This window comes from Homo sapiens, chromosome 7 (genome assembly GCF_000001405.40).
Source record: "Homo sapiens chromosome 7, GRCh38.p14 Primary Assembly".
In the NCBI taxonomy this organism is placed as follows: domain Eukaryota; kingdom Metazoa; phylum Chordata; class Mammalia; order Primates; family Hominidae; genus Homo; species Homo sapiens.
This window is the reverse complement of record NC_000007.14, coordinates 138435419-138450103: the sequence shown is the minus strand read 5'-3', so window position 1 is coordinate 138450103 and position 14685 is coordinate 138435419. Positions and strand designations below refer to the sequence as shown.

General features: G+C 45.0%; 1 pseudogene; it reads right to left on the bottom strand.

Annotated features, from left to right (window-relative positions):
- On the bottom strand, positions 7164 to 9531 carry IMPDH1P3 (inosine monophosphate dehydrogenase 1 pseudogene 3; annotated as a pseudogene).

The window sequence follows — 14685 nt, the reverse complement described above, 5'->3', positions numbered from 1 at the left end:
GAATTAGTTTAGCCTGTGCAGTCTAACTCTAGCCAATAGGGGAAGGACACCACAGCAGGGGCCATGTGCGTCAGGGATAAAAAATCCCTTCCCCTCCCTTGTCCAAGTGTGCGCTCACCATTGCTCCATCTGTAAGGGTGAACCCTTCTATGGATGTAACTTGCCTTGCTGAGAATTAAAAAGAAAATTTTATATTTGAGTTATATTTCTTTTTTGGCACCGAAACTTTATTTATAACAATTTGGGGGCTTGCCCATGATTACATTCCCCTCCGTGGGTGGTCTCTGGTTCTCTCTTGTGAGGAGGCACGCTCCGCCCCCTTGTGGCAGCCTGGGGGGTGACAAATCAAGACCCACCCAGTGTGAGGAATAACTCCAGCTCTCAGCAACGCGGAAAGAAACTGGCCAGCAACCTATCTTAAAGGATCCTCCATAATGACCATGCAAGTCTGTGCATGGACCAAGGAAAAGACACCATGGGAGCTGGTAAAGTATTTCCTTGGTGGTCAGGACCAAGGTAAGAAAGCTGCAAGGGGGTGGTGAAGTACTCCTTGGTCAGGGTGGCTTAGAGGTTAAAAAGAGGCAAGACATCCCCAGTTGGGGGGATTGCACCTCACACAAACCTCCAGTAGTAGAAAAGGCAACAAATTTCCAGTGGAGGAAATTGAGCCTCACCCCAAAAGGCAAGAAATTTCCAGTGGGGGAAATTGAGCCTCACCCAAAAGGCAAGATATTTCCAGTGCAGAAAATTGAGCCTCACCCAAAAGGCAAGAAATTTCCAGTAAGGGAAATCGAACCTTGAACCTTACCCCCAAACCATCAAGATGGGAAATACCCTAAGCAAGACAGGAAGCAAGGGGGATAAAGATGATAACAAAGATATCCCCACCGGATAGCCCCCTAGGTCTCATGCTAAAACACTGGAAGGATAATGAAAGGACTAAACGTAGGAAAAAGCAACAAATGATAAAATATTGCTGTTTTATTTGGACTCAGGGACCCATCCTCAAACCCTCAATCTTCTGGCCAAAGTTTGGGTCAAATGAGGATGTAATGTGTCAGCTGTTAATACAATATGTTAATGATAAAAGTCCAATGTCTCCAGAAGAACTAGGCTATGCCCTTTGTTGGAGGCAAGGACCTGCGCTCCTTTTCCCCTTAAAAACAAATAGGGAAGAACCCAATCTGGCACCTCAAAATGAAAAGTCAGAGGAGCCAACTCTCATGCCTGAAGACTCCAGCACATGGGATCCCCTAGACTATCTTTCCCCGTTCAGTGTCCCCAGTCTTTCCCCTCAGACAGCCACTGCCGCCTCAGATCCCGTTCCAAATCCTCACTCTACTCACGTTATCCTTCCTCCTTACAACTCTGACTCTTGGAAATTACCGTCCCACCAGCCTATTTCCTCCCAACTTAAATACCCCTCTCTAAAAGGACTTCAGCATGAGATAGAACAATGTAAAAAAGATATTCAGAATTTCCCATTTCCCTCTGTACCTAAGAGGTTGGCCCCAACCTTCTTCCCTTTGAAAGAGGTACCACAAGGAGTAGGGGGCCATTGGCTTTGTAAATGCTCCCTTAACCAGTTCAGAAAGTCGGAATTTTAAAAAGGAGCTTAAACTGCTACTAGATGACCCCTTATGGAGTGGCAGACCAAATTGACCAATTCTTAGGCCTCAGTTATACACTTGGGTCCAGTTAATGTCCATCATGGGCATCCTCTTTTCAGGGGAAGAAAGGAGTATGATTTGTAGGGCTGCTATGGTAATTTAGGAACGTGAGCACCCTCCCAGTGAAAACGTTCCTACAACGGACCAGAAATTCAGCACCTGAGACCCCCGGTGGGACAATAACAATGCAGATCACCGGGAAAATATGCAGGACCTAAGGGAGATGATAATAAAAGGAATTTGGGAATCAGTACCCCGAACCCAAAATCTTTCTAAAGCATTTGATATACAACTGGAAAAGGATGAAGGGCCTATGAGATTCCTAGACAGACTGAAGGAGCAAACGAGGCAGTATGCAGGCCTCAATTTGGATGATCCCCTTGGGCAAGGAATGTTGAAACTCCAATTTGTCACTAAAATTTGGCCAGACATTTCAAAAAAGTTACAAAAGATAGACAATTGGGAAGACCGTCCCCTAAGTGAGCTTCTTGGGGAAGCTCAGAAATTATACATGAAAAGGGACAAAGAAAAACAGAAACAAAAGACAAAACTTATGTTTTCCACCTTCCAACAGATGGCTCCAAACCCAGGTACTTCTAGACAAAGTTTCCAGGGAGCCAGAAACTATAAAGAGTCTGAACCCTCTTTTAAATGACCCCAGCCTCCATCTGGAGGACCAAGGTCCTCGTCTACCATGCCCCCTAAATAGTATGGGGGAGCAGGGTTAAAGAATCCCAGAACTAAGAGGGAGGAAGGACAAGATAGGTGCTACAGATGTGGAAGAACAGGCCACTTCAAGAGAGGATGTCCTGAACTAAGAAAGGAGAAAGAAGCCCTTCCACTCATGACTTTCGAGGAAGAATAGGGGGGTCAGGGGCTCTGTCTCTTTTATCTTGAGTCTCACCAGGAGCCCTTGATACATTTGGAGGTGGGGCCTAAACATGAGCTTATCACCTTTTTAGTCGATTCAGGGGCTGTTCGCTCCTCTGTTTGTTTCCCCCATCTAATCTTGTCTCCTCCTCAGAGGAACTTTTAGTCTCCAGGGTAAAAGGGGAAGGATTTAGAGCAAAAATTTTAGAAAGCACAGAAATTAGATACGAGGATTGCTCAGCTCATATTCAGTTCTTGTTAATCCCTGAAGCAGGAACTAATTTAATGTTAAGTTGGCCATAAGTCTACAAGTCAGCCCAAGAGGATTCCTCACCTCATTAAACCTACTCACCACCGCAGATGAAAAATATGTTAATCCAAATGTCTGGTCCAAAGACAGAAACTGAGGGAAACTCCAAGTGCCTCTAACCCACATCAAGCTAAAAACCCCGGGAGTAGTAAAAAGGAAGCAATACCCTATTCCTCTAGAAGGTAGGATAGGGTTGAAACCTATAATCAAAGGCCTCATTAAGGATGGGCTTCTCGAGCCCTGTATGTCACCTTATAACACCCCAATGCTGCCAGTCAAGAAATCAGGTGGGTCATACTGGCTAGTACAGGACCTTAGAGCTATCAACCAAATAGTCCAGACTACCCACCCTATTGTCCCCAATACTTTCACCATTCTTAGCAAGATTGCATATAATCATCAATGGTTTGCTGTAATAGATTTGAAGGATGCTTTTTGGGCATGTGCCCTGGCTGAAGATAGCCGAGATATATTTGCTTTTGAGTGGGAGGATCCCCACTCAGGGCGGAAACAACAATATCGATGGACAATCTTGCCCCAAGGGTTCACAGACTCCCCTAATCTTTTTGGCCAAATTTTAGAACAAGTACTAGAAAGAATTGTCATCCCAGAACAAATATGCCTTCTTCAGTATGTGGACGACATTCTTATATCTGGTGAAGATATAGAGAAGGTAACTGACTTCTCTACACATATTCCTAAACATCTGCAGTTTGAAGGGCTACAGTCTCAAAAAGAAAGCTTCAGTATGTAGAGCCTGAAGTTAAATATTTAGGCCACTTAATAAGTGCAGGCAAGTGAAGAATACGGCCCGAACGAATCGAGGGAATCGTGTACCAACCCTTGCCTCAAACTAAACAAGAACTCAGGAAATGTTTAGGGTTAGTCAGATACTGTCATTTATGGATTGACTCATACGCACTACACAGTAAACTGTTATATCAAAAACTTGCCCAGGAGAAGCCTAACCATCTCCTGTGGACTTCTGAGGAAGTTGATCAAGTCGAGAAGCTGAAGGAAAGGCTCATAACTGCCCCTGTTTTAGCTTTACCCTCCCTAGAAAAGCCATTTCACCTTTTTGTTAATGTGGACAGTGGGGTAGCTTTAGGAGTACTGACTCAAGAACACAGAGGCCATCGGCAGCCCGTAGCCTTCCTATCAAAGATCGTAGACCCAGTCACTCGTGGATGGCCCCAATGCATCCAGTCCATCGTGGCTACGGCAATACTAGTCGAGGAAAGCAGAAAGTTAACCTTTGGAGAAAATTGACAGTAAGCACGCCTCACGAAATTAGAACTATCTTAAACCATAGAGCAGGGGGATGGCTTACTGACTCGAGAATCTTAAAGTATGAGGCCATTCTGTTAGAAAAGGATGATTTAACATTGACCACTGATAATTCACTCCACCCAGCAGGTTTCCTAACAAGGAATTCAAATATAAGGAGGGAACACACATGTTTAGATTTAATTGATTACCATACAAAGGTTCGACCAGACCTAGGAGAAACCCCCTTCCAGACTGGATGGTACTTATTCATACATGGTTCTTCCCAGGTGATTGAGGAAAAAAGACATAATGTGTATTCAATGATTGTTGGAGAAACTCTTGCAGAAATAGAGTCAGGAAAATTGCCCAACAGTTGGTCTGCTCAAAAGTATGAGCTGTTTGCACCCAGCCAAGCCTTAAAGCACTTGCAGCACCAGGAAGGAACCATCTATAGTGATTCTAGATATGCCTTTGGAGTGGCCCATACGTTTGGGAAAATTTGGACTGAACGAGGTCTCATTCATAGTAAAGGTCAAGACCTTGTTCACAAGGAGCTGATCACCCAACTATTGAATAATCTTCCGTTGCCAGAAGAAATAGCTATTGTCCATGTTCCCGGACACCAGAAAAGCCTTTGTTTTGAAAGTCGAGGAAATAACCTAGAAGATCAGGTAGCCAAGCAGGCTGCTGTGTCTTCTGAAATGCGTATTTTTCACTTAACTCCCTGCCTCCCTCCTCCTACCATAATCCCCATTTTCTCTTCTGCTGAAAAAGAAAAACTAATAAAAATAGGCGCTAAAGAGAATTCAGAAGGAAAATGGATACTGCAAGACCAGAGAGCAGTTCTCAGAGTTTATGATTGCATAGGAATTTATACTCTGGCCAAACAGGTTACAGATAGTTGCTTAGTATTTAAGAAAACTAATTAACATACTATAAAAATATTACCTCTCGGGGGAAGGAATCCAGGCTTAAGGCCATTCCAAAGTATCCAAGTTGATTACACAGAAATGCCTCCAATAGATCATCTAAAATATTTACTAGTGATAGTAGACCACCCCACTCACTGGGTCGAAGCTATCCCCTTTCAAATGCAACAGCCAATAATGTAGTTAGGGCCCTAATTGAAAATATAGTACCCAGGTTTGGACTAATAGAAAATATTGACTCAGACAGTGGAACTCATTTCACTGCACACATTATTAAAAAGCTATCCCAAACATTAGACATTAGATGGGAACACCATACTCCCTGGCACACCCCCTCATCAGGGAGAGTAGAAAGGATGAATCAGACTCTAAAGAACCACTTAACCAAATTAGTCTTAGAGACTCGATTGCCATGGAACAAGTGTCTTCCTATTGCCCTGCTGAGAATTCAAACTGCACCACGGAAAGATATTGGTCTTTCTCCTTATGAGACGCTCTATGGATTACCTTATTTGCACTCCACTGCTGATATACCTACCTTTGAAACAGAAGATCAATTCCTTACAAATTATATAGTTGGTCTATCTTCTATTTTCTCTTATCTTAAAACTAAAGGTCTATTAGCACAGGTGCCGCCCTTGGAGTTCCCGGTGCATCAGCATCAGCCTGGGGATCACGTCCTCATCAAGAGCTGGAAAGAGGAGAAGCTCGAGCCAGCCTGGGGAGGTCCTTACTTAGTGCTCCTAACTACTGAAACCTCAGTCCGCACAGCAGAGAGAGGATGGACTCACCACACCAGTCAAGAAAGCACCGCCTGGGACTATGGTCCACGACCATAGTCGTGGGGGGAAACCCTACCAAACTAAAGCTAAGAAAAATGTAACTCTCTTTCATCTATTCTATTACTCTTTCTTCTTTCCTCGCTCTATCGCTGACCATCTAGTTATTAACATAACCAAGTCCATTTTGCCTCAAACTATTGCATTTGATGCTTGCCTTGTTATACCCTGTGGGGACTTGTTAAGTCAAAGACAGCCCTCTGCTTTAGAAAAGTGCCTGTGTGCCTCCTGGCTCTCCTCAGACTGGGCATTAGTGAATTGGGACCATTTAATCTGGGGAGATTTCGATAAAGACCCCAGTGGCAACCGGGAGTCTTGCCCCCCGATGTAGAGCTTTTATGCCGTAGTTGGTCCAATGTTCTGTGAACCACCAAAGAGCAAGGATGGAGTGCCCCAACCAGTTTCTGTAGTTTCCTAAAACCATACATTCATTTTACTAAAGGGACAGCACCCTCAACTGTCAGCTAAACCAGTGCAATCCTATACAGGTTATTATCTCAAGCCCCCAAAGTTCTTCCCCTTTTCTAAACCGGTTTCCTTCTTTAAGCCGGTTTTATGGTATGGAGGCTGAGGTTTCTGGAACAGACCCTATGGGATTCTTTGAAATGCGTTTCTTTGATCCCCCACTGCCTGCACCTTCCTCTAAGCCTTTTTCCAAAACCTCTCACAACGGAACCATTGTTCCTCCTCCATCTAACGACAAGGCCAAGATAGCGATGGTAGAAGTTAAAGACTTAAAACAAGCTTTGACAATTGAGATTGGATACCAAGATGTAAATGCCTGGTTGGAATGGATCAAATATTCCATCCACACGTTAAACAAAAGCAACTGTTATGCTTGTGCACGTGGCAGGCCAGAAGCCCAGATTGTCCCCTTTCCACTAGGGTGGTCCTCCAGTTGACTGGGCATGGGTTGCATGGTAGCTCTTTTCCAGGATTCTGCAGCCTGGGGTAACAAGTCATGCCAACCTCTCTCTCTGCTATATCCCAAAGTCTGATACCCTGCGGGTCAGCCCCTGAGGGCCATCCAGCTTCCGTTTCCCAACACCAAGTTCACTTCATGTCTCTCACAACAGGGAGGAAACTTAATGTTCCTTGGAGACCTGAAGGGATGCAGTGAGCTTAAGAATTTTCTTTCTTTCTTTTTTTCTTTTCTTTCTTTCTTTTTTCCTTTCTTTCTTTCTTTTTTCTTTTCTTTCTTTCTTTCTCTCTTTCTTTTATTCTTTCTTTTTCTTTCTTTCTCTTTCTTTCTTTCTTCCTTTCTTTCTTTCTATCTAGACCTGCTTGATTTATTCTGATTATTTAATACACAATGACACAACTGTGATCCCAAAGTGTGCAAAGTTAAAGCCTTCAACTGCAGCTGAGGAGAGGGCAGGAACGGTATACCTGGGGAGGGTGGTGAGTCAGAAATGACAGGCAAGCGGCCATGACCAGGGAAGCCTCCTCCCCAGGGACAGGGACAGGGAAGTGGCCTGAGGAGCAGGGCCCAAGGGTAGTCCAGGGCCAGGGAAGGGGGCAGAGACCTCCCCTTGGCCTAGGTCAGGAGCTCAGAAGTGCCACAGGCTGAGGGGGCAGCGGCCCAGGAAGGGCCAGAGGCAGGGCCAGGAGAGCACCATTTCCTGGGGGGCTGGGGGCAGGGAGGTGCCCTACAGGAGAAGCCAGGAGGGGCTACCTGCCCCTGGGGTGGGGGCCAGGCTGGAGCAGGCTGAAGCAAGAAAGGCCTGAGAGCCCGGCTGGCTAGGCTTGATGGGGCTCCCAGGGCAGTCTGGCCCAGGGAGCAGTCCTGACTCTGCAGGGGTGCCCAGCAAGGGGCCACGGACCCCTCTGGACCTCTCCTCCTCTCTCCCTGGAAAGGAGCTGGGGAACCCGTAGTGCAAATCTGTGGACCACTCAGTTATGGAGGAAGGCTGCGCCCGAAGGTGGACACTGGGGTGCACCCCCTCCACCACCTCGGCCTCCACCCCTGTCCTCAGTACAGCCTCTTCTTGTAAGAGTGCAGGCCTTGGACGCCACCCTTGATCTGGGCCAACATGGTCCACTTCTCAAACTTTCGCTCCCCTGAGTACATCATGGACAAAAGGACAGACAGGTTGCAGACCCCAGTATCCTGGCAGCCATGCTGGATGCCCGCTATGAGGTAGGACACGAACTTCTGAATGGACCCTTTGTCCTGGATGGAGCTGGAGACACCCTGCGCGATCTTCAACTTATCCCCCTCCATGAAGTATTGTTTCTGGCTGCCGCTGCTCTTCTCCAGGGCATCCAGTGAGCCCATACCCCGGTACTTCTTGAGCCACACCCCATCTGAGAAGAAGTACTTGCTGGGGACCTCCGTGGTGGCGGCCAGAAGGGAGCCCATCATCACTGTGGAGGCTCCAAGGGCCAGGGCCTTGACCATGTTCCCCATGGTCTGGATGCCGCCATTGGCTATGTAGGCACACCAAAGTGCCGGGCATACTCGGCCACCTTGTACACAGCAGTGCCCTGGGGCCAGCTGTAGGCCATCACTTCCTGGGTGATGCAGATGGAGCTGCAGCCCATGCCCACGTGCAGCCCTTCCACACCAGCGTCAATCAGGTTCTTCGCCTGGGCTGCTGTCACCATGTTCCCCCCAATCACCTGGAGGTGGGGGTACTTCTGTTTGATGTAATACACCATGGCCATCTGATACAATGAATTCCCTTGGGACAAGTCCAAGACTATGACGTCAACGCCCACCTGGGTGAGCAGGTCCAGGCGGTATTTGTCATCCTCACGGGTGCCCACAGCTGCCCCGCACAGCAGCTGCTTGTGGGAATCCTTGGAGGCCAGAGGGTAGTCTCAGTTCTTCTTCATGTTGGTGTGGGCGATGATGGCCACCAGCTCATTGCGATCATTGACGATAGGCAGCTTCCCTTTCTTGCTACGGCTGCAGGATCTCATTTGCCTCTTTCAACATCACACCTGCTGGAGCCACCACCAGCTCAATCCTTGGTGTCATCACCTCACTGAGGAGGGTGATGTGGTCCTTCTCAGCAAGAAAGTTGATGTCTCAGGAGGTGACGATGTCCACCAGCTTGCTGCCCATGGTGCCTGTCTCAGTGATGGGGATGCCCGAGAAGCCATGCTGCATCTTGGCCTCCAGCACATCACCCACAGTGTGTGAGGGGCTTAGTACCACGGGGTCCATGATAAAGCCCCGTTCAAACTTCTTGACCTTCCGCACCTCATTGGCCTGGAACTCTGGGGTGCAGTGGTGGTGAATGAAACCAATACCTCCCATCAGAGCCATTGCGATGGCCATGTCAGCTTCTGTCACAGCGTCCATGGGGGAGGAGATCAGTGGCATCTTCAGCGTGATCTTCCAAGTCAGGGCTGAGGTCAGGTCCACCTTATCAGCTATGAAGTCTATGAATCCTGGGAGAATCAGGAAATTGTTGTAGGTGAGGCGGTCGCGAGCTGCTGCACCAGTGAAGAGCTGCTGCGCTGTGAGCCCGTCCTCAGGCATGTAGCTGGTGCCGCCTCTGATCAGGTAGTCTGCCATGCTGCCGCGAGACCCCACGACCAGACATAAACACCTGCGTGGCTGCCAGCCACTGCTGCTGCCGCTGCTGCTGCTGACACTGCACCGTGTCCATGCTGTTGCCGCAGGCCGGGCAGGCTCGAGCTTAAGAATTTTCAAGAGCTTACCAATCAGTCAGCCCTTGTTCATCCCCGAGCGGATGTGTAGTAGTATTGTGGTGGACCTTTACTGGACACTGCCAAATAACTGGAGTGGCACTTGTGCTTTAGTCCAGTTGGGTATCCCTTTCACCCTGGCATTTCATCAACCAGAGGAAGGAAAAATAAGACATCGTAAAGTGAGAGAAGTCCCTTATGGGTCTTTCGACTCTCACATCTATTTAGACACAATTGAAGTCCCACGGGGAATACCAGATCAATTTAAAGCCCGAAATGAAATAGCTGCAGGATTTGATTCAATATTTTGGTGGGTGACAATTAATAAAAATGTAGATTGGATAAACTACATCTATTACAACCCACAGCGATTTATTAACTACACTAGAGATGCTGTTAAAGGAATAGCTGAGCAGTTAGGGGCTACTAGCCAGATGGCTTGAGAAAATAGGATAGCCTTAGACATGATATTAGCAAAAAGAGGAGGAGTTTACGTCATGATTAAAACTCAATGTTGCACCTTCAACACCGCCCCTAATGGAAGTATAACAAAGGCATTGAAAGGACTGACTGCTCTATCCAATGAATTAGCCAGCAACTCGGGGGTAAATGACCCCTTTACAGGATGGCTAGAAAAGTGGTTTGGTAAATGGAAAGGAGTAATAACCTCGATTCTTACCTCCCTCGTAGCCGTAATAGGTGTACTTAATCTTGTCGGGTGCTGTGTCATATCATGCATCCATGGGTTGGTGCCGAGGCTCACAGAAGTGGTACTTACTAAGATCTCCCTTAACTATTCTCCACCTTAACCAGAGAAGCTCCTTCTTTTGGAAAATCAGGCAGAACAACTAAGCCAAGACATGTTAAAGGAGTTAAAGAAAAAGCTATAAGGAAAAATGCAAGAGGAGGAAGTTATTAAATATGAGTTATAAATTTCTCTTCAAAGAATTAATATGTATGTTCAATTCTTTGCCTTCTGCTTTTAAACTTAACTTCCACGTAAAGCAACCTTTTCCGATTACCTACTCCACCCTGACTCTTCTCCACCCTGACTCACTCTGATTTCCTACTCTACCCTGACTCATTCTGATTATCTGCTCTGTCATAACCATTTTTCCCGCCAAACCACTCTCCCCATCACACTCTTTAAATTAGCCAATCAGAATTAGTTTAGCCTGTGCAGTCTAACCCCAGCCAATAGGGGAATGACACAGCAGCAGGGGCCACATGTGCCAGGGATAAGAACCCCTTCCCCTCCCTTGTCCAAGTGTGCGCTCACCATTGCTCCATCTGTAAGGGCTCACCCTTCTATAGAAGTAACTTGCCTTGCTGAGAATTAAAAAGAAAATTTTATATTCGAGTGCTATTTCTTTTGCAGCAACAAAACTTTATTTATAACAAAGTGTTGGTTGTTTTTTTTTTTTTTTTTTTTTTTTTTTTTGAGATGGAGTCTCGTTCTGTTGCTGTCGCCCAGGCTGGAGTGCAGTGGTGTGATCTCGACTCACTGCAACCTCCGCCTCCTGGGTTCAAGCAATTCTATGCCTCAGGCTCCCAAGTAGATGGGATTACAGGTGCCCACCATCATACCTGGCTCATTTTTGTATTTTTAGTAGAGACAGGGTTTCACCATCTTGGTCAGGCTGGTCTTGAACTCCTGACCTCCACCCGCCTCAGCCTCCCATAGTGCTGGGTTTACAGGCGTGAGCCACTGTGCCCGGCCAAGTGTTTGTCTTTCTGGTTACCAGATTCCACCTTGCAAGAGTCACATCATTACCACAAATCTTCTATGGTTAAAAGGTTCTTATTATGAATAACAAAAGGCACTGCCCATCCCCATTCCCCATCCCTGAAGAAACTCCAAGAGTTTTAGAAATTCTTGTGTCTGCAACCAGGGTCAAAGACCAAATATTAGAACAAAAGGTACTCCTAGCACACTTATCACTCAGGAAATTACAAGAACTTTAGGGGTTCTGTGTCAGAAACTGGGACAAAGATCAAATATATATTTATCTTATCACAAGCCCTGATCCGATAGAATTGGTATCCTCATAAGAACAGAAAGAGAGCTATGGTCTGTCTTCCACAGGCACACACTAAATAAATAAGTAAATAGATAAATAATAAGGCCATGTAAGAGCCTAGGGAGAAGACAGCTGTCTGCAAGCCAGGAACAGTGTCTTCCCCAGGAATGGAACTGGCTAGAACCTGGGACTTCCCAGCCTTCAGAACAGAGATATTTCTGTTGTTTAAGTCACCCAGTCTATGGTACTTTGTTATAGCACCGCAAGTAGATAAAGGAACCCAGTAATACATATGGACATCTATAGATTTATAAAATCTATTTGAATGCTGGTTTATTATTCTATAACATAACTGGTTGGAGAGGAGCTGTATTAAGAGACATTTGGCTGGTGCAGTGGCTCATGCCTCCAATCCCAGCACTTTGGGAGGCCGAGGCAAGTGGATCACCTGAGGCCAGGAGTTCGAGACCAGCCTGGCCAACATGACGAAACCTTTTCTCCACTAAAACTACAAAAATTAGCCAGGTGTGATGGCACACACCTGTAGTCCCAGCTACTCAGGAGGCTGAGTCATGAGAATCACTTGAACTCAGGAGTTGGAGGTTGCAATGAGCTGAGATTGCACCACTGCACTCCAACATGGGCCCCAGAATAAGACTCTCTCTCAAAAAAAAAAAAAAAAAAAAAAGAAGAAGAAGAGACATTTAAGCCTCTATTAGTTTAGTTATGAGTTAGAACGATATGACAATTTCCGTGGCTCAAATAATATCAAGTTTACTTCTCCGTCATATAACGTAGACCTGGGTGGGGCCACAGCTCCACTTCTCCATCATTCAAGGCAACCGGAACACCTCGCATACCCAGAGATTATACAAGTATTCATCTTGAAGATTTTCTAATGTATATATTTTAATAGGTAACACATTCTTACGGTTTAAAGATTAAAATACAACAAGAAAGCTAGACAGTGAAAAATCTTGCTACTTCCCATAGTCCCATCTATCTCATTAACTTCATGACCCTCTTTCTCTCCTGGAAAATCTACTGTAAACTCATTAAAGAATGGGAGGAAAATACAGATAACATATCAGTATTATTTTAAAAATAGTTTTGACCTCACAGACCCCCTGAAATGGCATCAGGGACCATTAGGGTTTCTCACACCACATTTTGAGAACCACTGCCCCACCCCAAGACTAGCAGGTAGAAAACTTTTCCAAAAACCTAGTTGAGAGCCAGGCAGGGTGACAGGTACCTGTTTGTTGATGTGGGAGGATCCCTTGAGCCCAGTAGTACTTGACCAGTCTAGGCAACATAGCAAAAACCTGCATCTTTAAGAAAAAACATTTTTTTACCCTTCAAAGCTACGACTTCTAGAAAATAAAAAGAAAAAAAAAAGGAAAAACATTTTTTAATTAAAAAAAGCCAATTGAACTGCTTGATTTATTAAATAACCATATATTTATTTAGAGATTTAGAATTTTTATAATACTTTCCGTGTGACTGTTTCACAGTATTATTTATTTTTAAATTTAACCACTATGGAAGCTTGGAATAAAGAATAATGGCTCCCAGCTGGGTGCGGTGGCTCATGCTTGTAATCACAGCACTTTGGGAGGTTGAGATGAGTGGATCTCCTGAAATCAGGAGTTCGAGACCAGCCTGGCTAACATGGTGAAACTCCGTTTCTACTAAAAATACAAAAATTAGCCAGGCATGGTGGTGCATGCCTGTAATCCCAGCTACTCGAGAGTCTGAGGCAGAAGAATCACTTGAACCAGGGAGGTGGAGGCTGCAGTGAGCCGAGATCATGCCATTGTACTCCAGCCTGGGCAACAAGAGCAAAACTCCGTCTAAAAAAAAAATAAATAATAATAATAATAATAATAATAATGGCTCCCACAGCTCTACCCACCTCTTACTCTCCTCCTTATGGTAACCATGGTAACAGTTGTTGTACATACTTCCAGGGTATTTTTCTCTGCATATGTATTCATATACACATGTGCACTTGGAGCCTGGGGTTTGTCTTCCCCAACCCAACACACACACACACACACACACACACACATAGAATTGTGCTATATATATTTTTTCTGTGACTTACCCCTTTTACTTTACAGTCTGAAGATTTCTTCATATTTTTGCACATAAATATACCTTATTCTTTTGCACAATCATGTAATATAATAACAACTCTGTGACATGAACATTTTATTATTTCCGAAGGTGGGGAAGGGAAGGAAAACCAAATTTGTTCTTACTTTCATATAGATGACTAGTGGTACCAACCACATTCATTAAATGGCTCATCTGTTTCTCTGTAATTTGAAATGCCACCTGTAGCTTATATCAGATTTCCATATATGCATGTGTCTCCCTTTTATTTATTGATTTGTCTATTCTTAAATACACTTCTAATTTATGCATCTTTATTATATAGTATTTCAGTCTAAGAGGCTACATCTACTCTGTTGTATTTCTCTTTTCAGATTATTTAGACTGGTCTTGAATGTTTACTATTCCAAATACACTTTGCAATTAGTTTTTCAAGTTCTATTTAAAAAACCTAATTGTGATTTTTAAAAATGAAATTGCATTTTTTTGAATAGAAATACATGGACTTAATGCAAAATTCTAAGTGTATACAAGCATACCATTGTTAGATATGAGTTCTAAATTTCTCTTCAGAGAATCAATGTCAGTATGTTCAATTCTTTGCCTTCTACTTTTAAACTTAACTTCCTCATAAAGCAACCTTTTTCGATCACGTGCTCTACCCTGACTCATTCCAATTACCTGCTTCACCCTGACTCATTCCGATTACCTGCTCATCCTCCAGCCCAACTCATTTCTATTTCCTGCTCTGCCATAACCATTTTTCCTGCCAAATCACTCACCCTGTCACCCTCTTTAAATTAGCCAATCGGAATTAGTTTAGCCTGTGCAGTCTAACCCTAGCCAATAGGGGAAGGACACAGCAGCAGAGGCCACGCACGTCAGGAATAAGACCCCCTTCCCCTCCCTTGTCCAGGCGTGCGCTCACCATTGCTCCATCTGTGAAGGCGCACCCTTCTATAGAAGAATATTGCCTTGCTGAGCAGAAAAATTTTATAT